Below are 22,907 nucleotides of genomic sequence, written 5' to 3'. Positions count from 1 at the left end.
CTGGGATTACAGGCATGAGCCACCGCACCCAGCCGGAAAATAACTGTTTAGACCCCACATAATATAGCAGGACTGCTATCCTCTAAGGGAAGTCTCTGGCTAACAGACAATTGCCTCTTCAAATATCAGGGCTTGCTGTTAGAGGGATCTACAGTCCAGTTAAAAACCTGTCCTTGCCTGAATCCAGCCACTTTCCCCAAAAGTAAACTGGAGAACCTGAACATGATTGTGAACAAAGAGTGATGCAAACCAGTAAAAAAAAAAAAAAGATAAGGATCATTGTTTATATTATCTGTAAAGTTTTAATTAGTAAAGAAGAATTTTATGAAAGAGCACTCAGCTTAATTAAAAGTGGATACCCAAGTTATAGGTGTCCTTGAAACGCCTTTATGTTTTTCTCTTCTTAGATCTTGTTTTTCTGGAAAAGGTTTGTATCTCAGTCAACTGAATTACTTTTCTCCACTCTGTCTTGCCAATCTTGGTGCATGCATGAAAGGCTCAAGGATGACTTCTGGTGGCCTTGGACTCCTTGAGAAAACAGACAAGGTGCCACAGATTCAATTTGGGGGAAATCTGTTTTCCTCATGGAACCCCAAGAATTAGAGATGGATAAATCCCTCTCAAAATCTGTTTTGGCCTTCGAGCTATGCCTGTTTATTAGGCCCCAGAAACTGCATGCTTTTGTAGCCTTATTCTTAAAGGGCTCCACCCTGAGCTGCTGGATCTTCTTCTGTCTGTGTAGTCATATATGTGTTGTGTGATGTCTATAAAAAAGAGCTGTAATTGATTGGCCTATAAGCACTTAGATCAAATAAAATTCTTTTTTTCCCAGACTGAGTCTTGCTCTGTCACCAGGCTGGAGTGCAGTAGTGCGATCTTGGCTCACTGCAACCTCCGCCTCCCAGGTTTAAGCAATTGCTCTGCCTCAGCCTCCCAAGTAGCTGGGATTACAGGCACGTGCCACCATGCCTGGCTAATTTTTTGTATTTTAGTAGAGATGGGGTTTCACCATGTTGGCCAAGATGGTCTCAATATCCTGACCTTATGATCCACCCACCTCAGCCTCCCAAAGTGTTGGGATTACAGGTGTGAGCCACTGCGCCTGGCCGATCAAATCTTTTTTGAAAGAATAGTAAAAACTGTAATTTCTCTTAGTTCATGTGACTTTAATCTTTAAAAATAAAACAGTCTTAGGGATTATTGGTAAAATACAAATGTACTCAAGATGTAAATATGTGGTCTAAATTATGCAGGTCAGATGGTAGGTTTGCTAAATGTTTTAAGGTTGTACTGCTCCTTTGGCCTTTAAGAACTGTTCAACTTGCCTGCTTCACAATGGGTAAAGTCTGGGAACATATGGAAGTAACCAAGCCCCTAACTTATTCTGGAAGGAGTTAAACTTTATCTGCACCCAGCAAATAATTAAAACAACTTACCAGGTTTTACACTAAAGTTAAAAATTGCTAAGAGGTAGGGCCAGGCGTGGTAGCTCACACATGTAATCCTAGCACTTTGGGAAGCTGAGGCGGACAGATCACGAGGTCAGGAGATTGAGACCATCCTGGCTAATGCGGTGAAACCCCATCTCTACTAAAAATACAAAAAATCAGCCTGGCATGGTGGCATGTGCCTGTAGTCCCAGCTACTTGGGAGGCTGAGGCAGGAGAATCGCTTGAACCTGGGAGGTGGTGGTTGCGGTGAACCAAGACTGTGCTACTGCACTCCAGCTTGGGTGACAGAGCAAGATTCCATCTTAAAAAAAAAATTGCTAAGAGTTACCATTATGACATGTAATTGAGACTACTGAATAGATTTACATGCAATGTGTGTAAAAACAGTAAAATGTGTTTTTTGTAAAAAATTATAAGAAGGCATGGCAATGTACGTTTTGCCTAGGGATAAAGAATTGTCTTAAAGTAGATAAAATACAACTGAAGGTTTAAGCAAACTGGGGAAAAAATTGTAAGAATTAATCTTGCAAAGGAAACTCTGTGTGAATATATTGACTACATTCAAAAGGGTATTATGTGGTTTTCTGTAAATTGAGCATTGAAATAAAAGCACAACAAAGAACTCTTAATGCATGAATCTACTCTTTAGCAAAATTTGTAAAGGGTTATAAAAGGTTTGTGAAAATCTCACCTCATTGTCAAACTGGTTAAGATTGGATAGAATTGCCTATAATTGTTTCATTAAAAATTGTGGTTGACATTAATAGTACACTAATGTAAGGGTGAAATTTGGCTTTCTCTCTCTTGAACACAATTTTCATGTAATAGTAAAGGCTAATGAAAGGTTTTTGCTTTTTCAAATTTTTGAGTCATCATTTTGGCAAAATAAATAACTTATAGTAATCTGGAATTCTAGTACATAACATCAAATATTTTAAGCCTGTTAACATATTTAACAGGCTTCCACAAATCAATTGTCTTTCTTGACACCTACGTTTTGGATGCTACAGAGGGTCCCTGGGGCATCCAGAAAAGAGGCAAGCAGGATTATTTGACATGTTTTGTTACATGGGATTGCCAAAATGATGTCTAATCTTCTTCAGGTTATATTTCAGCAAATACTATTAATATGTGTTCCAAAACTGCATGGGATTTAGAAAACTCTAATGTGAAAGTATACACTATCAACCACAATTAAGGTTGTTATGTTGTTATTGTAAACCACGGAGATAACCAAATTTTTTTTGTCAATCATGTTTTTGACTAACCACCCTGGACATTTTGTCATTTACAGACAATTGTTGTCTTGTTTTAATCCTCTTCAAAATATGGTTCATAATCAGATGTAGGAATACTTTAACAGGTATTCCTAAATGCAGGTTTCTGATAACTGAAAAACATACAGGACTCATGAAAAGCTAAAATGTTTATAAATATCAAGCAGAACAAGAGTTAACAGAATAGGCTGAACTAATAGAAAAACTGAAATAATCTTTTTGACTTTTGCTTGGAACATTGCTGATCCTTGTTTTGTTTTTCAGAGTCAAGGAAACTTCTTTTGAGCTAGCTACAGCCTTTAACAATTGAGTAAGGTTTACTCCTGAGAACAAAATTTGGAACATGTTTGTTTCTCTCTGCCTTATTGGTTCTTTAAGGACCACTGCAACATGGTCTTGGGAATTATACTTCAAGAAGCCTATAAGGTTAAAGGGTGTTTATACTCACAGTGATATAGGAATAGCACTGGGTGGTTGCAGGAGGATGGAAAAATTCGAACAACAAATAAAAACAAGAACTAGGCAAAGAAACCATAGGATAACAGAAAACCCAAAATAAGAGAAAGAATGGCCAAAATCCCAGTCAGGATGACATGTCCATGACTCTTCTGGGCAAAGCCAAATAAGAGAGAAAGGGGGCAGTAACCAGGTGGGTCCCTGAATTTCCCTCCTTTTCCAGAATACCTAATAATTATTCCACTCTCTAATTAAAGAAACACCCACAAAATAGGAATGCTGTGTGGTCACAGGAGAAGGGGGAAAACATCAAGCTGTTAAAATTAGCTACTCCAACAAGAAGACTGGGCTGATGAGACCTTAACAAACAGGATTGGGGCTAGGCTGTCCCATGACGCTAGATTTGACCCATTTCCTACCCCAGACCTAATTATACACTCATTGCCACATTAAATCACACACCCACCAGTGCCAGGCCAATCCAAGCACGCCCACATTTAGTATAAAAATGGTTGGCACCCCAATTCTAAGAAATTCCCACCTTTTCCTAGAAAAACCTCATGATTATCCCACCCCCTAATTAGAAGAGCCCATAAAATTAGAAACCCAAACTCCATTGTGCATGACCCGCTCTCCCTCGTACGTCCGCATTTCCCTCTTCTCTTGGGAAAAGTACACTCTTCTCAAAAATGTGTACTTTTTCTTCCCAATAAAAGCTTCTTGCCTTTGGCTTCATTTTGACTCATCCCTGCATTCTTTCTCACGATGGTGTCACGAAGCTGGACTCCGGAAGCGGGCGGGGACTCACGGCCCCTGGAGACCTTCCTGAGCCCTGGGCAACACCAGTCCACACAGAGGAGGCAGACGTCCCACAGACGGAACCCCACGAGCATGTCCCGGGAATGGCTCCACGCGGGAAGCGGGGGTCCAGATCCACGCCAGTCCCAGGGACAGTGCCTGGCGTCAGGGTGGAGGAGGACGCAGTAACCAGGCGTAAGATTTTACTGGTACATGGGAATGTCACTGGGTCACTCAGAGGAGGCAAGCGGGGAACCTCGTGGCAGGGCCCCCTTTATCAAACTCGTTTACCTGGGTGCCTGGGCGAGTGCTCACAGCCTGCTTGTAGGGACGTTGAGGCATCCGAATAATAGGAAGTTTTAAAAATTTACAATCCAGTGTGTACACTTGCTCCGCTAAGATCATCTGAGATATACAGAAACATGGTGTGCATAATAAAAAAGGAAAAAGAGCCAAGCCTGGCCTCTTACGGGACAAGACTACATTACCTAGAAGGCAGTGGGCCGGCGCAGGAAAAGGCGTGGCAGGCGACCGCGACACAGGGGCGGGACTTCCGGCCTCGCTGGCGTGGACGTTTGTGGTGGGGCGTGTTGGTCCGCGCTCTCAGAACTGTGCTGGGAAGGATGGTAGGGCGACTGGGGCTCACCTCCGCACCGTTGTAGGACCCGGGGTAGGGTTTTGAGCCCGTGGGAGCTGCCCCACGCGGCCTCGTCCTGCCAACGGTCGGATGGCGGAGACGAAGGACGCAGCGCAGGTGAGCAGACTGGCTCGGCTCCCCGCGGCCACCCGGCCTCAGTGTCCCGGGCCCGACGAGCGGAAGGACGGCGTTTCAGGGTCGTCCTCAGTGCAGTCCCTGCCGTTGCTTCTTAGAGGCCTAGAAGGGGGTCGCGCGGTCCCGGGTCCGGAATGCAGGCCCGCGGTGGCGTGGGGAGCGTCCCCGTTTCTGGGGTGCGCGGCGTTGTGGTATGAAATAGGGCTTTTAGGGTCCCGGAACCCCTCACAGGTGAGAGGAGCGACCGCAGTCCTCCTCGTGGCTCTTCCAACCATGTCCTTTCTCGGGCCTGCGACCTTGAACAAGTCCCGTTACTGTCCTCGTCCTTCATTTTTGCGCGCGCAAAGTAGAAATATTTACTCTTCCCCCCCCCGGGGTTGAGGAAGCTTGAACGGCTCCCTGGGTGATGTGTGTGTGTCCGTCTCAGTGCACAGCACGGTCCGGGGACGTCGCTCAGGATGTTGTTTCCGGAGCTGCTCCCTGGGCCTGTGCTAGGTTTGGAGACTCAACCCCAGCAGGAGTCTGACCCTCTGGCCTCCTTGGCCTCCTGTCTCTACAACACGAAGGGCAGCGGCTGAAAGAGGTGGGAGGAGCGTTTCTGCGGTTGCTGCTATGCCAGGGCAGAAAAGGTGGTAGGGCAGGCTGAGGAATTTGTCTTTCAGTTTAGGGCAAGGGACGCTGGGTTGCAACTAACAGTATATTTTCCTGTTTAAGACATTTAGTTACAGGTGAAAAACGAGTCCATTAAAATGTTCAGTGGCGATGGTATGCAGGATGTAGTGTCCCTTTGGAGATAACACATGAGGCCCAGGGTTACTCTCTAGCAGTCACTCTGATTACTTTCATGATAGCCCAGATTACTGTCAGCTCCTGTCGTAGTTGTTAATTTCTCATCCACCTCTCCCTCCTTTGCTTTATTTCTGACTCCCTCTGGTGTCCGCTGCTTAAAGAGGTCTCGTCTGTTGCACCGTTTAAAGCTGACCAGAGTCTCTTTGGTCTCCTTGCTCTGTTTTCTTGTCATCTGAATCTTTAAGGCCATCTGACATTGCCTTACTCATTTATTTAGTTGCCTGTTTAGGATCTTTTTCCAACCCTGGAATGTGAGTGCCTGTTGCTTCCCTCTCCCAAGACCCAGAACAGCCAGGCTTAAGTACATTTATTGTACTTAATAAATGGTTGATGATTGAATAGGCCTCTCTTATAGGGACTCTCATCACATTTCCAATAAATCCACCCCCTCCTACCAGCATGGTCTGCAAGGCTGTACTTGGTTTGCCCTTTTGACCGCATCTTCTTTCTCCTCTTCCATTGTCCCCTTTCTCACTGCATTCATCCAGGGAATCCTGAGCTTGCCAAGCTCTTTCCCATTTTCAGCCTTTGCCCTTGCACTTCCCTTTGTCTGAGACATTGTTCTCAGGTCTCTGCGGGGCTGCAGTTCCACACCCATCCTGGCAGTGCTGGCTGTAGCTAAAAGCACCCCTCACTCCCACCTGCCTGCTCTCTGGCAGCTTGGTGAGGTGTTTTAGCGGTGCTCAAATGCTGCTTTTGCTTTTTAAATGTGAGGCTGTGCCTGATTTCTAAAGCTCCCTGAGCCTTTGCTGACTGTGAAATGGAAGTGATAACGACATTTACCTCTGGGCCTGTCAGGGGATTAATAAAGTTCCCAAACACATCAGGCACTTACATGTGCTAGGCACTCCACTGATTGCCTAAGTGAACATTTTCTGTTTAGTTCTTAGAGCTGCCTGCTGAGATGGGAATAGTTATTGTGTTGATTCGGAAATCGAGCCTTAGAGAGATCATGTGACATCGTCATAGTCACATAGCTGGCAAGTGTCAGATTCAGGAGGCCTGATTTAAGTCAGGCCTTTATTTGCTTTACCACGGCTAAGGAAGCCTTAGCCTGGCAGGGACACAGTGAGGACCAGAGGACTTAGTGAAGGGTGCCTGCCCCTCTACACCTGTGGGTATTTCTTGCAAGGTGGAGATGAGAGACTGAGAAAAGAAATAAGACACAGAGACAAAGTATAGAGGAAGAAAAGTGGGCCCAGGGGACTGGCACTCAGCATATGGAGGACCCACACCAGCACCAGTCTCTGAGTTCTCTCAGTATTTATTGATCACTATCTCTACCATCTCCATGAGGGGGATGTGGCAGGACTATAGGGTAATGAGTGGGGAGAGGGTCAGCAGGAAAACATGTGAGCAAAGGACTCTGTGTCATAAATAAGTTTAAGGAAAGGTGCTGTGCCTCGATGTGCACGTAGGCCAGATTTATGTTTGACTTTACCCAAACATCTCAGTGCAGTAAAGAGCAGTATTGCCGCCAGCATGTCTTACCTCCAGCCATAAGGCGGCTTTCTCCTATCTCAGTAAATAGAATGTACGCTCGGGTTTTACACCAAGACATTCCATTCCCAGGGACAAGCAGGAGACAGATGCCTTCCTCTTATCTCAACTGCAAAGAGGCCTTCCTCTTTCATGAATCCTCGTCAGCACAGACCCTTTATGGGTGTCGGGCTGAGGGAAGGTAAGGTCTTTCCCTTCCCACGAGGCCACATCTCAGGCTGTCTCAGTGGGGGGAAACCTTGGACAATACCCAGGCTTTCTCGGGCAGAGGTCCCTGTGGCCTTCCGCAGTGCATTGTGTCCCTGGGTACCCGAGACGGGAGAATGGCGATGACTTTTACCAAGCATACTGCCTGCAAACACATGTTTACCAAGGCACATCCTGCACAGCCCTAACTCCATTAAACCTTGAGTCAATACAGCACATGTTTCTGTGAGCACAGGGTTGGGGCTAGGGTTACAGATTAACAGCATCTCAAGGCAGAAGAATTTTTCTTAGTACAGATCAAAATGGAGTTTCTTATGTCTTCCTTTTTCTACATAGACACAGTAACGGTCTGATCTATTTTTCTTTCCCCCACACTTAGCTGCTGCTGTTGCTGTTATTGTGGTTGGATTAGTATCAGTCATTTTCCTCCATTCTTTTAATATGCCAGAGTACTTACTCTCTGCTTCCCATAGTCCTCGTGGGATTGCCATTGTTTGTGTCATCTTCAACAGCTTCCCCATAGAAGGCTTTTCTCTCAGGCACAATTGCATTGTCAAAAGGCAGTATCTGCCTCCCCTTTGAGCCCTGCACGGAAGTCAGCCCAAAGGAGACCTAGTTGATTCAGACCTGGATCTCTCTGCACATTGACTAGAGACTGAGTGACAGGTTCTGATCCTATGCGACAACACAAGGCCAATAGCATTACTTCTGTTTGACTTTCCAGATGTTGGTGACCTTCAAGGATGTGGCTGTGACCTTTACCCGGGAGGAGTGGAGACAGCTGGACCTGGCCCAGAGGACCCTGTACCGAGAGGTGATGCTGGAGACCTGTGGGCTTCTGGTTTCACTAGGTAATGACTCACCTCTCATCCCTGAGGAGGACCCTAACCCTGATTCTTGGCCAGGCAAAAAGGTCACTGGAACTGCCCACCTTTCTCTTGACAGACCTTTCTGTTCCCACCTCTTCCTGACTGGTCTCCCTTTGTCTGCATCAGAGATTGTCGGGGTAGAAAATGTCCTTTTAACACAAACCCTCACTCCAGTGCTCAGCCCATTCTGAGGTCCTTAATCAAGATTGCATAAGAAGGAAGCTGATTGGCCATCCTGGTGGGGTCAGCTGTGGCCACAGCCCTATTAAGCAGGGGCCATGGGTGATGGGCTGTTCTTAGAGAAAGGGGTGAGTCAGGCAGCCCCCCAGAAGACATTTGTCCTCAGTGCCCCTCGGATATCTTCCTAAGCAATACAATCTCTGTAAAAAGGCATCTGGGTGCCTGCATGGTCATTAGTTGTTTTCTGATGCTTGATATCCATGCTCTGTTGATCCAGGAGGTGTTTTTAGAGGGTACACAGGAATGTCCTCAAATGGCATGGTTTGATACCCTGATAAAGCCATTCCTTTTACTTTCTCTGTCCAGCACGCTAATTCTTGTCATAAAAGTCTCATCAGCTGGGTGTGGTGGCTCACGCCTGTAATCCCAGCACTTTGGGAGGCCGAGGCGGGTGGATCACGAGGTCAGGAGTTCAATACCAACCTGGCCAAGATGGTGAAACCCCGTCTGTACTAAAAATACAAAAATTAGCTGGGCGCAGTGGTGCGCGCCTGTAATCCCAGCTACTCAGGAGTTTGAAGCAGGAGAATCGCTTGAACCTGGGAGGCGGAGGTTGCAGTGAGCCAACATTGCGCCAGTGCATTCTAGCCTGGGTGACTGAGCAAGACTCCGGCTCAAAAAAAAAGAAAAGTCTCAGATCAGCGCTGAGTCTTTCATTTTCCTTTCACTCCCCCAGTGCAGTTCATTTCTTTTTTTTAACAGAGGGGACAACCTCCAACTTAGCCCTAAGAAACATACAAGGGTTTCCTGGGACTTAGTGGCATTGTTTTGATTTTGTTGTGTTGTGATTGCAGACTTCTATTTGTAGGAAGGGAAATTGACTTTCTCACTTACCAGAGCAAAACAAGGTTCCCTTTTAGAATACAATATTTAACAAAAGTGGGTCAGGATAAAGAAGTTATTAGAATTGATGGCACACTCTGAGTTCAGTTGGGAAGGTGGACATCAATCCATAGATGACAACTGAAATAAGTTCTAGAAAGAAAAATGAGGGGAATTTAGGAATAAATAAGCAGGATGTCATAACCTATTGTGGGAGTTCCAAAGAGGGCATCTCAGGAAGTGACAGTGGAGCTGAGACCTGAAAGCTGAGTAGGAGTTAGCTGGATAGAAGGAGGTGGAAGAGGGTAACAGTGTTCCAGGTGGAGGAACCAGCGTGTGAAAAGTGACAGGGAGCTCAGCTCTTGGGAGAGCCAAAGGATCATCTGATTCACCTTTCCCACAGCCCTGTCCCAGAACTCAAAGCCAGGCATGTAGCACACATTGGTGGACCTTACTGTGACATGTCTGAAGGAATCCTGGGCTATGGTTCAGAATCTGCCAGTCGATGTTTCTGTGGATCCTTGTACCTCAGTCATTGGTCTTCTATACAGAATCCTCCTGTCTTTTACTCACCACATCTAGTGGAAAGCATTTGGCTGCATATAACAGAAAACCAGATCAAACTGGCTTCACCTGGAAGGAAATTCACTAACTCGCCTGATGAGAAGCCTGAGGTGTGGTTGGCTCCAGGCTTGTTCGGTGCCGCAGCCCAGTGACGCCATCAAGGATGTCTTGGTTCTCTGTTCCTTCTTCTTGGTTCAGGCTTCTGATTGTCCTCAGGCTGGCTCCTCATAGGGATGCTGGGTGCTGCAGCCTTGACTGGGGCAGCAGGCCCCCATGTTCAATCCATCCTCCCACCTTGGAATAAATGCTTTCTTTTCACAATGAGAATCCAGCTTTGGTCACCTGCCTAATGAAGACTCTTGCATTACCAATTTATTTCAACCACTGGTTTTTCTTTTCCTTTTTTTTTGAGATGGAGTCTTGCTCTGTCATTCAGGCTGAAGTGCAGTGCCATGATCTCAGCTCACTGCAGCCTCTGCTTCCTAGGCTCAAGCAATCCTCCCAACCTCATCCCCTTGAGTAGCTAGGACCATAGGTGCACACCACCATACCTGGCTAATTTTTTATATTTTTGGTAGAGACGGGGTTTCACCATGTTGGCCAGGCTGGTTTAGAACTCCTGGCCTCAAGTGATCCTCCTGCCTCGGCCTCCTATAGTGCTGGGATTACAGCATGAGCCACCATGTCCAGCCTCAGCCAGTGGTTTGCAGCCCCATCTGGGCACCAGAATTTTGGGGGGCACATTTTGGAAGTACTGATGCCCAGGTCTCACACGAAGAAATTTTGTTTCATTTGGTTTGAGGTTGGAATCACGCATCCCCAAGTGGTTCTGAAAGCACGAGGTGTTTGAGAAGCAATGATTTAGATTTGTTAGAAAATGCCTCCTGGGGCCGGGTGCAGTAGCACCTTGGGAGACTGAGGCAGGAGGATCACTTGAGGCCAGGCACTCGAGACCAGCCTGACCAATATTGTGAATCCCAGTCTCTATTAAAAATACAAAAACTAGCCAGGCATGGTTTTGCATGCCTGTAATCCCTGCTACTCGGGTGGCTGAGGCACGAGAATCCCTTGAACCTGGGAGGCAGAGGTTGCAGTGAGCCGAGCACTGCACTCCAGCCTGGGCAACAGAGTGAGACTCTGTTTCAAAAAAAGAAAGAAAGAAAGAAAGAAAATGCCTTCTGGAGGAAGCAGCACACCTTTGCCGTGTCCCATGGCTGTCAAAGTGTTGTGTGCCTGAACAACGTTGGCTTCCATAGACGGAGGTCATGGGCAGTGGGTGTTGTGTAGACAGATAGCACTACCCTCCATGGCAGTTGTAGCCCAACAGTGGGATTTGTGCCTGTCTTTTATCTCCTTGGCTGCCATAATAAAATGTCATGGATTGGGTGGTTTAAACAACGAGAGTTTATTTTCTTATGCTTCTGGAGGCTGAGAAGTCCAAGATCAAGGTGTCGGCAAATTTGATTCCTATTGAGACCTCTCTTCCTGGCTTGCAGATGGCTGACTTGCTGTGTTCTTACAAGGTGGAGGGACAGAGGAGAGATCTCTCTCTGTTTTTATGAGGCCATAATTTTATCAGATTAAGGCTCCACCCTTGTGGCCTCATTTAATTTTAATTACCTTCTAAAGATCCTGTCTCCATATACAGTCACGTTGGGTGTTAGGGCATCAACATATGATTTTTATGGGGAACACAGCTCACTCAGAGCAATGCCCTTGATTTTCAGGGCTCACATCAGCATTTTGCTTACTTTGGGAGCAGCTGCATTCATGTCTGGACCCTGTCATGAAGTCCTAGGCAAGATGGAGAGACTTTCATTTTCTCATTAAATTACCCCTATTCTATTTCTTTTGCTATCAACAGGGCATCGGGTTCCCAAACCAGAGTTGGTCCACCTGCTAGAGCATGGGCAGGAGCTGTGGATAGTGAAGAGAGGCCTCTCACATGCTACCTGTGCAGGTAAGCAGCCACCAGCTGGTCATGTGGAGTCATGGCAGTCTTCAGATAATGTGAGGGCACCACTGCCTCTGAATTTCTGTGTGAAACTGCTCATTGTGGCTTTCCGGGGGCCTGGTTGTTTCTGACTCACTTTGGGTCATAGTGTCCATCATCAGGTGAGCACTGAGCCACACAATTATTCAGAGACACAGGTACCTTTTGCTGTGAACAGGAATCTTTATGGTTGCTCTGGCTCAATCCAGCTGGTAGAAGGGGAACAAGAAGAAGGGGAGAAGTCATACCCAGTTGTACACATACTTGACAACCACATAGTCTTGACAAGAACTAGGCATTTGGCCACACCTAGATGCTCAGGACTGACAAATGTGATTTGGCTATGTGCCCATGGAAAAGAATTAATGGGTTTGGTTTACATCACCTCAGACTCCTCTACTCAACAAAATCAGAGTGATATAATTTCTGTGTCATTGAGTTGTTAGAGGATGTAGAGATAACACATGACACTGCTTAGTTCAGTTCCTGGTCCATAGGATCAACAAATGTCAGCTAGTTAGTATTATGCATGAACAGTTTTAATCATCATAAATGTAATGTCATACATTTCTTTCTGGACTCAAGAGAAAGGGGACTTTCCTCCCCTTGATATTACTGTCTGCATTATGCTGTGAATCCCACTCTTTTCCACCCTCTCCGTCCACTCATCCATCCTCCAGTTAGACCATCAGAGACTCGGAAGCAGCCCTTTGCTCCATATCTTCCTGCCCCTCTTGCCCTGAGAAACACCAAGGTGACATTTGGCCTTCTCTGCCCTACATCTGTGCTGATGAGTGTAGCTGGAGCCATTTGCCTTGTGGATTTGTATCACCACTGAGTCATGGGCTCTCCCCTTGGGCTTCTTGGCCAGCCCCATCTGCAACCCTGTGTTCCAAATACCTCCCTTCCCATTCCCTCAATCCCACATCTCCACTTAAGTGTCTCAGAGGCACCTTTAGCTCCTGATGCCTAAAAAGACACTCAGTTCAGAGAATGTCTTACCATCCAAGCAGGTTAGAAGGCTGGAAACACACCACATAGCTCCTGGACTCCACCTACCTTCATCAAACCCAGCATCCATTCATCCCTAGTCCTGCTCATTTTAAATGATCCATATCTCCTAAGTCCATCACTTCCACTGCTTCCCTTGGCTCCTTCACCAACACCCTAGTCCGGGCTCTCATAATCTTCTGCCTGGGCCATACCAGAGGCTCCTGACAGGTCTCCCCACATCTGCCCCATTCCTCTGGGCAGCTCTTGTCCCTGCACCGGCTCCTGCAGCCACTCAGATGTGTTTCAGATTTTCACCACTTCCCCAGCAGCTGATGTTTCAGTATATAATTAATTTCATGTTAAAAATAGGATGTGTATTTAATGTTCTTAAAGATTCATCTGCACGGTCTCATACTTGGCTTCTCTTGTCCTCTATGGAGGAGATCTTACCTCTAGTCATGGTCAGTGTCTTTGCCAGTGCCTGCATCATACCTGCTGTGTTCTCAGGGAACTTGCTTTTTTTAAAAAAAATCTCTGCTTTGTCTGTACCTTCAACTTATCTATATTCAAATAAAAAGTGTGCACAATACAAAACCAGAAAGTGAATATAAGTTTAAACAAACAAAAAAAAGTGTACTCAAATTGCTTACACTTGGCGAAAACAGACAAAATGCTTTTTCACCTACAATACCCTGTAACTTGTGTTGACCCCACTTGTAAAGCCAAGCTTCTTGGAGTTGTCTCATGTTTGGAAGAGATGTTTACACTTGACTTTAATATTTTTTTGTTTAAAATTTCTCAAACTAAAAAAAATCTTATGTATACAATAATAAGTACAAATTTGAAGGGCTCAGCTTAAATTTTTGCATTTCTGCAAATTGAATTCTTCATCTAGGTCAAGATTTACAATATTTCCAGCACCTCGGCAGTTTCTGTTACCCTGTCTTTGTCAATAGCTCCTCCTGCAGTGGGAGCCACTGTTTAGACTCTCTCCCTAGGGACTAGTTTTTAATTGGTTGTGAATGGGCATAATTGGAGCCCCAAAGCAGTTTCTCTTTTGTGTATTTCTTCTTTTCACCATCATTGTGTCCATGAGCTGGGTTTATCCTATATGCTGTGTACCATAAAATTATGTGAAAACATCAGGATCTGTTTCTTCACTCTCCTATTGGTTGACATTTGTATTGTTTACCTTGTTTGGAGATTATGAAGAATGCTGCTATGAATACTATTTTCCATAATATTTAGTGGATATAAACACTCATTTCTGTTGCATATACACCCAGGAGATGACTGGTGGAGTCAAGAGACAGATCTGTGCTCAGTTTTAAGTCAAACCCCCAAATATTTTTCCAGAGTAGCCGCACCATTTCCCATCCCCACCATTCCAGGTATGAGACTGCTGCTGCACTCGGGTCTTCTAAGCATGCGATGCTGGCCACTTCATGAAGCACAGCTGCTAGCTTCCTCAGATCACAGCACTGAAGTTGTTCTTGCTAGTGTCACTGGCATTACCCAAATTGCCCAGCGCAGCAATGAAAATAATAAGGGTAATGTCCCACAATTTAATGAACACTTGCGCTGCATCAAGAACTGTGCATTTTCTCATTTAACCTCATGACAGCCTGAGAAATTGAGTCTCCTAGTCTCTTAGTTGAGGAATTGGAGACCTGGTGGAGAAAGTCATCCTCCAGTATCAACCCACTTGACACAGGCAGGATTTGAACTGAGTCATTCTGTCTCCAGTACCCTCTTGTCTGCCATGCATTGTGCCTCCTGACACAGCAGAAACTTGTCAGATCTTACTACACTAGGCCTTTTGTACCATTTGTTCCTGTGTGTACTTCCATCCCTTTTGTGCTGGAATCTTCATTTTCTTGCTCCAACTCTAATCACCCTTTTATATTGGTTTCACCAGGCATCTGGTGCCCAAAGGGTGAATCTACCCATTTTTACTTCCTCACCTTCAACCCATTGCCCACTTCCTCTCTCTGGCAATGACTCTGGCTTCTCTTTTAGGACTCAGCTTATGGGACACCTCCTCTAGAAAGCCTTCCATGATCTCTTTTTCTTTCCAGTCTCATTAGGTGCAACTTCCCTAAACTCTTATAGCACCAAAAGGCTTCATTTATTTTTATTTTTCTTTTTCTTCTTTGAGACAGAGTTTTGCTCTTGTTGCCCAGGCTAGAGTGCAATGGTGCAATCTCGGCTCACTGCAACCTCTGCCTCCCGGGTTCAAGCGATTCTCCTGCCTCAGCCTCCCGAGTAGCTGGGATTACAGGCATGCACCACCACGCCTGGCTAATTTTTAATTTATGTGGGTACATAAGATATTTTAATATAGGCATACAATGCATAATAATCACATCAAGGTAAAGGAAGTATCTGTCACCTCAAGCATTTATCCTTTCTTTGTGTTACAAACAATCCCGTTATACCCTTAGTTATTTCAAAGTATAGAATAAATTATTTTTGACTATAGCCACCCGGTTGTGCTATCAAATACTAGGTCTTATTCATTCTTTTCTAACTTCATTTTGGTACCCATTAACCATCCTCACTACTCCATGGAGTAGGATCCTACTCCATCCTACTGCCGTTCCCAGTTTCCAGTAACCATCTTACTACTCTCTCTCCATGAGTTCAGTTGTTTTGATTTTTAGTTCCATCCCTGTTGTTGCAAATGATAGGATCTCCTTTTTTATGGCCAAATAGTACCCCATTGTGTATACACACCACATTTTCTTTGTCCATTCATTGTTGATGGACCCTTAAATTGTTTCCAAATCTTGGCTATTGTGCCTAGTACTGCAGTAAACATGGTAGTGCAGATATCTCTTTGATGTACTGATGTTTTTTTTCTTTTGGGTATATACCTCCACTGGGATTGCTGGATCATATGGTGGCTCTATTTTTAGTTTTTTGAGGAACCTCCAGATTGTTCTCCATGGCAGTTGTACTAATTGAAATTCCCACCAACAGTGTATGAGGGTTCCCTTTTTTCCACATCCTTGCCACCATTTGTTATTGCCTGTCTTTTGGACAAAAGCCATTTTGACTAGGATGAGATGATACCTTATTGTAGTTTTGATTTGCATTTCTTTGATGGTCAATTATATTGAGCAGTTTTTCATATACCTGTTGGCCATTTGTATGTATTCTTTTGAGAAGTGTCTATTCAGATCTTTTGCCCATTTTTAAATCAGATTCTTAGATTTTTTCCTATAGAGTGGTTTAAGCTCCTTATATATTCTGGTTATTAATCCCTTGTCAGATGGATGTAAGCGTTCAATTCTTAAAGCAAATGCCCTTCAGACAATGTCATCAAAACTCTATTATCTCTTCCTTACTCTGAACTGTAAAGAGAAATGTCTTTACTCCGGATCCTCTGTCCCCCGGTCCAGCCTGCCCTCCAGATTTTCCCTTTAATGGTGTCAAGGATACAAGGACCGTAAGCAGTATTTGGTAACCTGGGTTAGAGATGTAAAAATGCAGCAAGTATCATAGGCACTATTTTCATCTTCATTTTCCTACTGAAGTGGTTATTTTGTGTTTTTCTATATTTTATCACTAAAAGACCCCTCCTTTGTTTGTTGATGCCCTTCAGGTGACAGAGCACAAGTTCATACCAGAGAGCCAACCACTTACCCGCCAGTCTTATCTGAGCGGGCCTTTCTCCGGGGAAGCCTGACTCTGGAATCTTCAACCTCAAGTGATTCGAGGTTGGGGAGAGCTAGGGATGAGGAAGGGCTTTTGGAAATGCAGAAAGGTAAAGTGACACCGGAGACAGACCTCCACAAGGAGACCCATCTTGGGAAAGTGAGCCTTGAAGGTGAAGGTTTGGGGACAGATGATGGTCTGCACTCCAGGGCATTACAAGAGTGGTTATCAGCAGATGTTCTCCATGAATGTGACTCACAGCAACCAGGGAAAGACGCCTTGATTCATGCAGGGACAAACCCCTACAAATGCAAGCAGTGTGGGAAAGGTTTTAACAGGAAGTGGTATCTCGTTCGACATCAGAGGGTTCACACTGGAATGAAACCCTATGAATGCAATGCATGTGGGAAAGCCTTTAGCCAGAGCTCAACTCTCATTCGGCACTACCTCATCCACACCGGGGAGAAACCATACAAGTGCCTTGAGTGTGGGAAGGCCTTCAAACGCAGGTCGTACCTCATGCAGCACCATCCAATCCACACTGGAGAGAAACCCTATGAGTGTAGTCAATGTCGAAAGGCCTTCACCCACCGGTCTACTTTTATTCGCCATAATAGGACCCACACTGGAGAAAAGCCCTTTGAGTGCAAAGAATGTGAGAAAGCCTTTAGCAATAGAGCCCACCTAATTCAACATTACATCATCCACACTGGAGAGAAGCCCTATGATTGCATGGCATGTGGAAAGGCCTTCAGATGCAGCTCAGAACTCATACAGCACCAGCGGATTCACACTGGGGAGAAGCCCTATGAATGCACCCAGTGTGGGAAAGCCTTTCACCGGAGCACGTACCTCATTCAGCACTCTGTCATCCACACTGGGGAGATGCCCTACAAGTGTATCGAGTGTGGGAAGGCCTTCAAACGCAGGTCACACCTTCTGCAGCACCAAAGGGTCCATACATGAGAGAACCCTATTGCTGCAATGAATACAGCAAGGCCTTTACCCACTGTTATTTTATCATTCATAATGGGACCCACACTGTAGGAAGAAGTCCTTCGAATGCAAAGAATGTCAGGAAACTTTTCATTTTTTTTGTCAGCTCTTTCTTAACTAACACATGAGCAGTCACTTTGGAGAGAAGCCCTGTGAATACAGTGAATGTAAGGATCCCTTCAGTCACCACTCAGTTCTCACTCATTGCAGAAGGATTCATACCAGGGGGAAATGTGGAAGGCATTCCATCAACATCAGAGAACTCATGCTGGAGAAAGACATTCCAAATATAACTATTAAGGACAGTCTTTGGCCAGAGCAGAAATCTTACTATCTGAGAATCATAATGAAAAGTTACTACATAATTGTTATTGATGTGAGAAAACTTTGTGACCAGGTTGTCACTTGCTTGTCCTATAAAGAGCCATGCTGGAATTTGACCCACCTTGGGATTTTCTCTATGAACTTATGAAAACCTTCAGTTACAGGTATCTTCTTGCTTTATGTCCTTACAGACTTCCCTGTAAGATCAGTTTTATTTTTTGGTAGGGGAATGTTTGAGAGGTAAAGGGGTTTTATTCCTTTTTTTTTTTTTTAACATACATTCACTGCCATCCTTTGTCAGAGTTAGACAGTGAGGGCAGCTCTTCAGGCATTTCTTGGAAGTTGCCTTTGATCCAGACATCTCTGGGAGGATATCCATGAGGAGAGTAATTCTTTGTGAGAAATATGAAGGCTTGTGTCATGAGATTCTTGAATTTAGTAGAAATTAGAATACTGAGAACATCTTCATGTGACACTTCTTTTTTATATCTAGGGTGAGAAGAACCCATGTACAGATGGCCACATTAAAATGTGCACCACATTAAAATGTGCAATACCTAAGACTGTTTAAGGCTTTGATTTTTATTAATAAACTCATTATTTTTTAAGAGACAGGGACTTGCTCTGTCACCCAGGCTAGAGTGCAGTGGCATGATCATAGTTCCCTGTAACCTCGAACTCCTGGGCTCAAATGGTCCTCTTGCCTCAAGTTTCTGAGTAGCTTGGGATACAGGCATACACCACTACGCCTGGCTAATGTTTGTAATTTTAGTAGAGACAAGGTTTTACCATGTTGGCTGGGCTGGTCTGGAACTCCTGGCTTCAAGTGGTCCACCTGCCTTGGCCTCCCAAAGTTCTGGGATTACAGGTGTGAGTCACTGCACCCAGCCTTAAATTTTTTTGTATAGATGAGGTCTTGCTGTGTTCCCCAGATTTGTCTCAAACTGCTAGACTCAAGTCATCATCCTGCTTAGCCTCCTAAAGTGTTGGGATTACAGGTGTGAGCCACCACACCTAGCCTAATATGGTTTCAAATGCTCAGCACTCTCACATTTTCCTGATTCCATTCTGTCTGTTTGTTGTCTTTATTTTCTCTGGCAACATAGTGATCACTTTGTACTTGCTTGGCCTTCTCAGATGAGTCCTAATTCTTTCTGGTGTTTATCAGATTCTTTAATCCTGTGTAGAGGGGTATTTTTAGGTCCCCCTCAGCATTTTTCTAGGGATTGAATTATAGCTAAAACAGGCAAAATAAAACACACAACTAAGATGAATCCATGGTAAACCCAGTAAACCCAAGAAAACAACATGGAGAGGAATCTCATTGTCTGATCTTATAAACATTTGCGTGAAGTTTTGCTACAAAATAAAGTGCCTAGCATTTTAACAGGTGAATCAGGATATACGTGGGCAGGTTTACGTGAGTTTCATAGTTAACCACCATGACCTTAGTCCCTTGGTGCTAGCACTGAATATGGTAATTAGTTTTGTTGTGTTTTGAGATGGAGTCTCACTCCGCTGCCTAGGCTGGAGTGCAGGAGTGCGATCTTGGCTCATTGCAACCTCTGCCTCCCGGGTTCAAGCGATTCTCCTGCCTCAGCCTCCCAAGAAGCTGGGATTACAGGCATGTACTACCATGCCCAGCTAATTTTTGTATTTTTAGTAGAGACAGGGTTTTGCCATGTTGCCCAGGCTGGTCTCGAACTCCTGACCTCAGGTGATCCACCCACCTCAGCCTGCCAAAAAGCTGGGATTACAGGTGTGAGCCACTGTACTTAGCCTGAATCTGGTAATTTGAAATTCCTTTTGTGAGATTTTCTTTTAGTTTTCAAGCTACATGAGATAATGTTAGGTTAAAACGTGTGAAAAATAGAAAATTATCATTTTCTCACTTTGAGCTTTCCTCACAACCTTTTAAAGCACTGCATATATATTCATGTTTTCATAGTGGGCATGTACCTTTTACTGTGGTCCTTTTGCACATATTATAAATAGAATTCTTGGTGAGTTAAGAGTTCTCTGTTTTTGTTTTTTCAGGACAGAGTGCACAGTTTCCTCTCCTGTGGGAAGGAGAGTTGACTCTTGAGGACCCCCACCCTCCTGCATCCTCTCTCTGGAAGGCTGCATGTATTGTAGCTGTGGCTGTACTTGTACCTAAGGCCCTGGGTTCAAGAGAGTTGGAGAAACCCCTCTAGAAACATATTGGCTGTCATCAAAGGGTTCTTTCCAGGCCTGAGGACCTAGGCCCCAGTTTGTCCCAAAGCAGGAGTGTTTTCCATGGGATAAAGGACACCCTAGGTTTTTCTTAGCTTCCAGCTCTTTCCATACAGTCTTCACTGAAGTGTTTGGTACAAGGATCTACTATGAACTTGCTGCTGTGATAGGCAAGAATCTCATGAGACACCTGTCATTTAGCTCCATGGCCACTCACTGTTGTGGTCATACTTAGAAGAGTGGGATGCAGTGGATGGCTGGGCTATGGGTCCTGCCCTTGAGCAGGGAAGGAACTTACTGTCTAATATAGGAAAAACACATGAGAACAGGTGCAATATATTGACTTAAACTTGTTTAGCACCCGTTTTTAAGTCAGTAGAAGTTTTGAACTTACAGTAAAAGTTGTGAACTTCTGTATGTTTTCCACAGTTTATGATTGAGGTAAAACATGTTTTTTGTTTTGTTTTTGAGACAGAGTTTCACTCTTGTTGCCCAGGCTGGAGTGCAGTGGCGCCATCTCAGCTCACTGCAACTTCTGCCTCCCGAGTTCAAGGGATTCTCCTGCCTCAGCCTCCCGAGTAGCTGGGATTACAGGCGCCCACCACCATGCCCGGCTAGTTTTTTTGTATTTTTAGTAGAGACGGGGTTTCACCATGTTGGCCAGGCTGGTCTTGAACTCTTGACCTCATGTAGTCCACCCGCCTCTGCCTCCCAAAGTGCTGCGATTACAGGCGTGAGCCACCGTGCCCGGCAGAGGTAAAACGTTTTCATGTTCATGTTTTTGTAACTTTGTTACATTTAATGAACAAATTAGATAAAAAGCACTATGCTCTTATGCTGCTTAATCTGTGAGAAATGATTGTGGGGGTGGGACTAGTTATGACCATTCACAGTTGGTGCACTTCAATCAGTAAATGTCACAGAGGAAATGTGGACGGTAAATTAACTCGGCAAGTCGGTCATGCAAAGACGAATTAGAAATCTTAATATTTGTAAGCAGACAAAAAATGTGTCTGGAAGGATCCTCACCCAGTTAAATGGTATTTGCTCCTTGGGTGTAGAGGGAGGGAAGGGATGGGGTAGAGGGGAATGTCAGAGTTCACTTTAACTTCATGCACATGTGGAAATGTTTGAAATGTTCACAGTAAATTTTATAATTTCAGAAAAACTGCTTAAGGTTGAAAAGAGAAATTTAAGAAATTGCTGACGGAATAAAAACATAATAGAACTACAACACCGAAGGAAATGAAAGAAGCAAGAAGGAAAGCACCAGAAGTGATTTGGAAGAGAAATCCTAAAATGAATGTGAACAACAGAGTGATCAGAAGAGTGTAGGGAATTAATAGTTTCTTTAAACAAGCCATCTCACAATGGAAGCCTGTGTGTCTTGAAATTGCTGTGGTTATTATTCACTCTGCCCTTTGAAGAACTGCAGAAATTCATAGGGCAATGTTAAGTGTTTGTGTCTCCAAAAAAGATGTTGGAGTCGTTACCCTCAGAACCTCAGGTAATCATGTTAGTTAATCCATTAGGTTAGTTCCTAATTGACTATGACTGTGTCCTTAGAAAAATGGGAAATTTGGTCACAGAGGCAGATGTACAGAGGGAAGACGATGTGAAGACACAGGAAGAACATCTTCAAGCCAAGGAACACACGGGGCTACCAGAAGCCGAGATAGAAGCATGGAACATATGTTCTAGTAAGAAGTGTCTGGGTTGTTTTGGTTTTTTTTCTTTGGAGTTTTTGTGGTATTAAATTATTTTTAAATTATGTTTTATTGTAGACCTCACAATTCTTTTTTTTTCTTTTTCACTCAAACTACAGCAAAATATTATATTTCTATCCTATATTTCATGGGCTTACCTCTAGCCAATTGTTTTTAACTGCCATGTAATATTTTACATCATGAAGCTTTCATCCTTGATTCAAATCCTCTGATTATGGACATGTATTTCCTCCATTTTCCTGCTATGAAATATATCACCACCAGCTTGATTCAACCTTAAAAATAAGGTCATCAGTATTATGTTCTAAATAAACTTATGGCCATACATGAGAAATGTACCTTGCAGCTGAATGGCTAGGTCATATGGTGATCTAGTATGTAACTGGAATTATGTTATACATTGCCCTTCCTCTCCCATAAGATGGACAAAAGTGTTTCTGTATCACTGTGTCCCAGACAATATTTAGAATTACCCAGCTTTCCAGTTTTTACTTTAGAAGTTTAAAGTGATATAGAATATATCTGGTATTTCTCATATTGAAATACATTTGAACATTAGTTCATATCCTTTCATTGCCTTTTGTTTTTCCTCTTCTGTCAATGGTCTACTCATATGTTGGCCTGTCTTTATTTGTATCTTGACTTTTTATTGTGTATTTTGTTTATGGTGGGGTACTTTATTGGTGATTAATACGATTTTCAAGTATATTATATGGGCTAGTCCCTTGATACTATTGACACTGTATTTATCTTCAGTCTCTTGTTGGTATCTAACTTTGGTTCTGAAGTTTATGGAATGGAAGTATTTAATTGGAAAGATTAAACATATTGATTTTAATTAATATTTTTGACTTGTTAGGATTTTTGAATACTCAGGCATAACTCACAAAATTATGCTGCTGGCTTTAAAATTAGTTTTACATTGATTCTTAGAGCATCTTAATCATTAGTAAGGATTAAATCCAAAGTACACACAGTGAAGATAATTTTAAAACTATTTAAAATGGTAAATTTACCTATTAAAGATGAAGCATGAGAACGGGGCAGGAAATGTCATATAGTTCCACTTTTATATGGATTTGCTCAGAGAAACCCCTGAGAATGAGACTGATGAGAATAATGGCATAAAGGTTTTGGCAGACAAGCTATATAGGAAGTGGGAATAACAAGGGCAAATTTTCTTGTCTGGTTAGCT

At 43.9% G+C, this 22,907-nt stretch overlaps 1 protein-coding gene and 1 long non-coding RNA gene across 8 annotated transcripts, besides 5 other annotated features; one reads left to right on the top strand and one right to left on the bottom strand.

The window, feature by feature from the left end:
- Nucleotides 1-282: 282 nt before the first annotated feature.
- Nucleotides 283-4,450, bottom strand: LOC124904781 (uncharacterized). The gene is made up of 2 exons (XR_007067357.1): nucleotides 4,274-4,450; nucleotides 283-528 (listed from the first exon to the last, which is right to left on the bottom strand). It is a non-coding gene; the product is annotated as an uncharacterized LOC124904781 (long non-coding RNA).
- ZNF550 (zinc finger protein 550) lies at nucleotides 2,997-22,554 on the top strand. 7 transcript variants are annotated; one of them, XM_047438312.1, is made up of 6 exons: nucleotides 2,997-4,177; nucleotides 8,035-8,161; nucleotides 11,670-11,765; nucleotides 16,399-17,935; nucleotides 19,809-20,741; nucleotides 21,149-22,554. In XM_047438312.1, the coding sequence occupies exons 2-4, from the start codon at nucleotides 8,035-8,037 to the stop codon at nucleotides 17,415-17,417; spliced, it is 1,242 nt and encodes a 413-aa protein (XP_047294268.1). In that variant the 5' UTR covers nucleotides 2,997-4,177; the 3' UTR covers nucleotides 17,418-17,935; nucleotides 19,809-20,741; nucleotides 21,149-22,554. The 7 variants fall into 7 exon arrangements, with proteins under 7 accessions (XP_047294268.1, XP_047294267.1, NP_001264020.1 ...); NM_001277091.2 differs by lacking the exon at nucleotides 2,997-4,177 and adding an exon at nucleotides 4,529-4,736 and having other exon boundaries at nucleotides 19,809-20,155; NM_001277090.2 differs by lacking the exon at nucleotides 2,997-4,177 and adding an exon at nucleotides 4,529-4,736.
- Nucleotides 3,222-4,421: an enhancer, noted in NCBI's record as "BRD4-independent group 4 enhancer chr19:58071339-58072538 (GRCh37/hg19 assembly coordinates)". NCBI's record gives its function as "activates an origin of replication core promoter dependent on BRD2, P300/CBP, MED14 and CDK7 cofactors, and independent of BRD4, by STARR-seq in HCT116 cells {active_cell/tissue: HCT116}" and the evidence as "EXISTENCE:reporter gene assay evidence [ECO:0000049][PMID:35650434]".
- Nucleotides 4,168-4,277: an enhancer, noted in NCBI's record as "active region_15146". NCBI's record gives its function as "activates an Ori minimal core promoter by ATAC-STARR-seq in GM12878 lymphoblastoid cells {active_cell/tissue: GM12878}" and the evidence as "EXISTENCE:reporter gene assay evidence [ECO:0000049][PMID:35858748]".
- Nucleotides 4,399-5,263: an enhancer, noted in NCBI's record as "H3K27ac-H3K4me1 hESC enhancer chr19:58070497-58071361 (GRCh37/hg19 assembly coordinates)". NCBI's record gives its function as "activates a minimal SCP1, AML or CMV promoter by ChIP-STARR-seq in naive H9 embryonic stem cells {active_cell/tissue: H9 hESC(naive)}" and the evidence as "EXISTENCE:reporter gene assay evidence [ECO:0000049][PMID:30033119]".
- Nucleotides 4,908-4,957: an enhancer, noted in NCBI's record as "active region_15145". NCBI's record gives its function as "activates an Ori minimal core promoter by ATAC-STARR-seq in GM12878 lymphoblastoid cells {active_cell/tissue: GM12878}" and the evidence as "EXISTENCE:reporter gene assay evidence [ECO:0000049][PMID:35858748]".
- Nucleotides 5,408-5,487: an enhancer, noted in NCBI's record as "active region_15144". NCBI's record gives its function as "activates an Ori minimal core promoter by ATAC-STARR-seq in GM12878 lymphoblastoid cells {active_cell/tissue: GM12878}" and the evidence as "EXISTENCE:reporter gene assay evidence [ECO:0000049][PMID:35858748]".
- Nucleotides 22,555-22,907: the final 353 nt, after the last annotated feature.

The sequence above is a fragment of the Homo sapiens genome, chromosome 19 (genome assembly GCF_000001405.40).
Source record: "Homo sapiens chromosome 19, GRCh38.p14 Primary Assembly".
Lineage (NCBI taxonomy): Eukaryota > Metazoa > Chordata > Mammalia > Primates > Hominidae > Homo > Homo sapiens.
Note: the sequence above shows the minus strand (reverse complement) of the source record. Positions and strands in the feature narration are given on the sequence as shown.

Excerpts from the sequence above, each read along its gene's own strand:
- ZNF550 (NM_001277092.2), top strand. The coding sequence starts at position 4,710 with ATGGCGGAGACGAAGGACGCAGCGCAG. Across the intron at positions 8,162-11,669 it reads TGGGCTTCTGGTTTCACTAG|GGCATCGGGTTCCCAAACCA; the intron begins GTAATGACTCAC and ends TGCTATCAACAG. Across the intron at positions 11,766-16,398 it reads CTCACATGCTACCTGTGCAG|GTGACAGAGCACAAGTTCAT; the intron begins GTAAGCAGCCAC and ends GATGCCCTTCAG.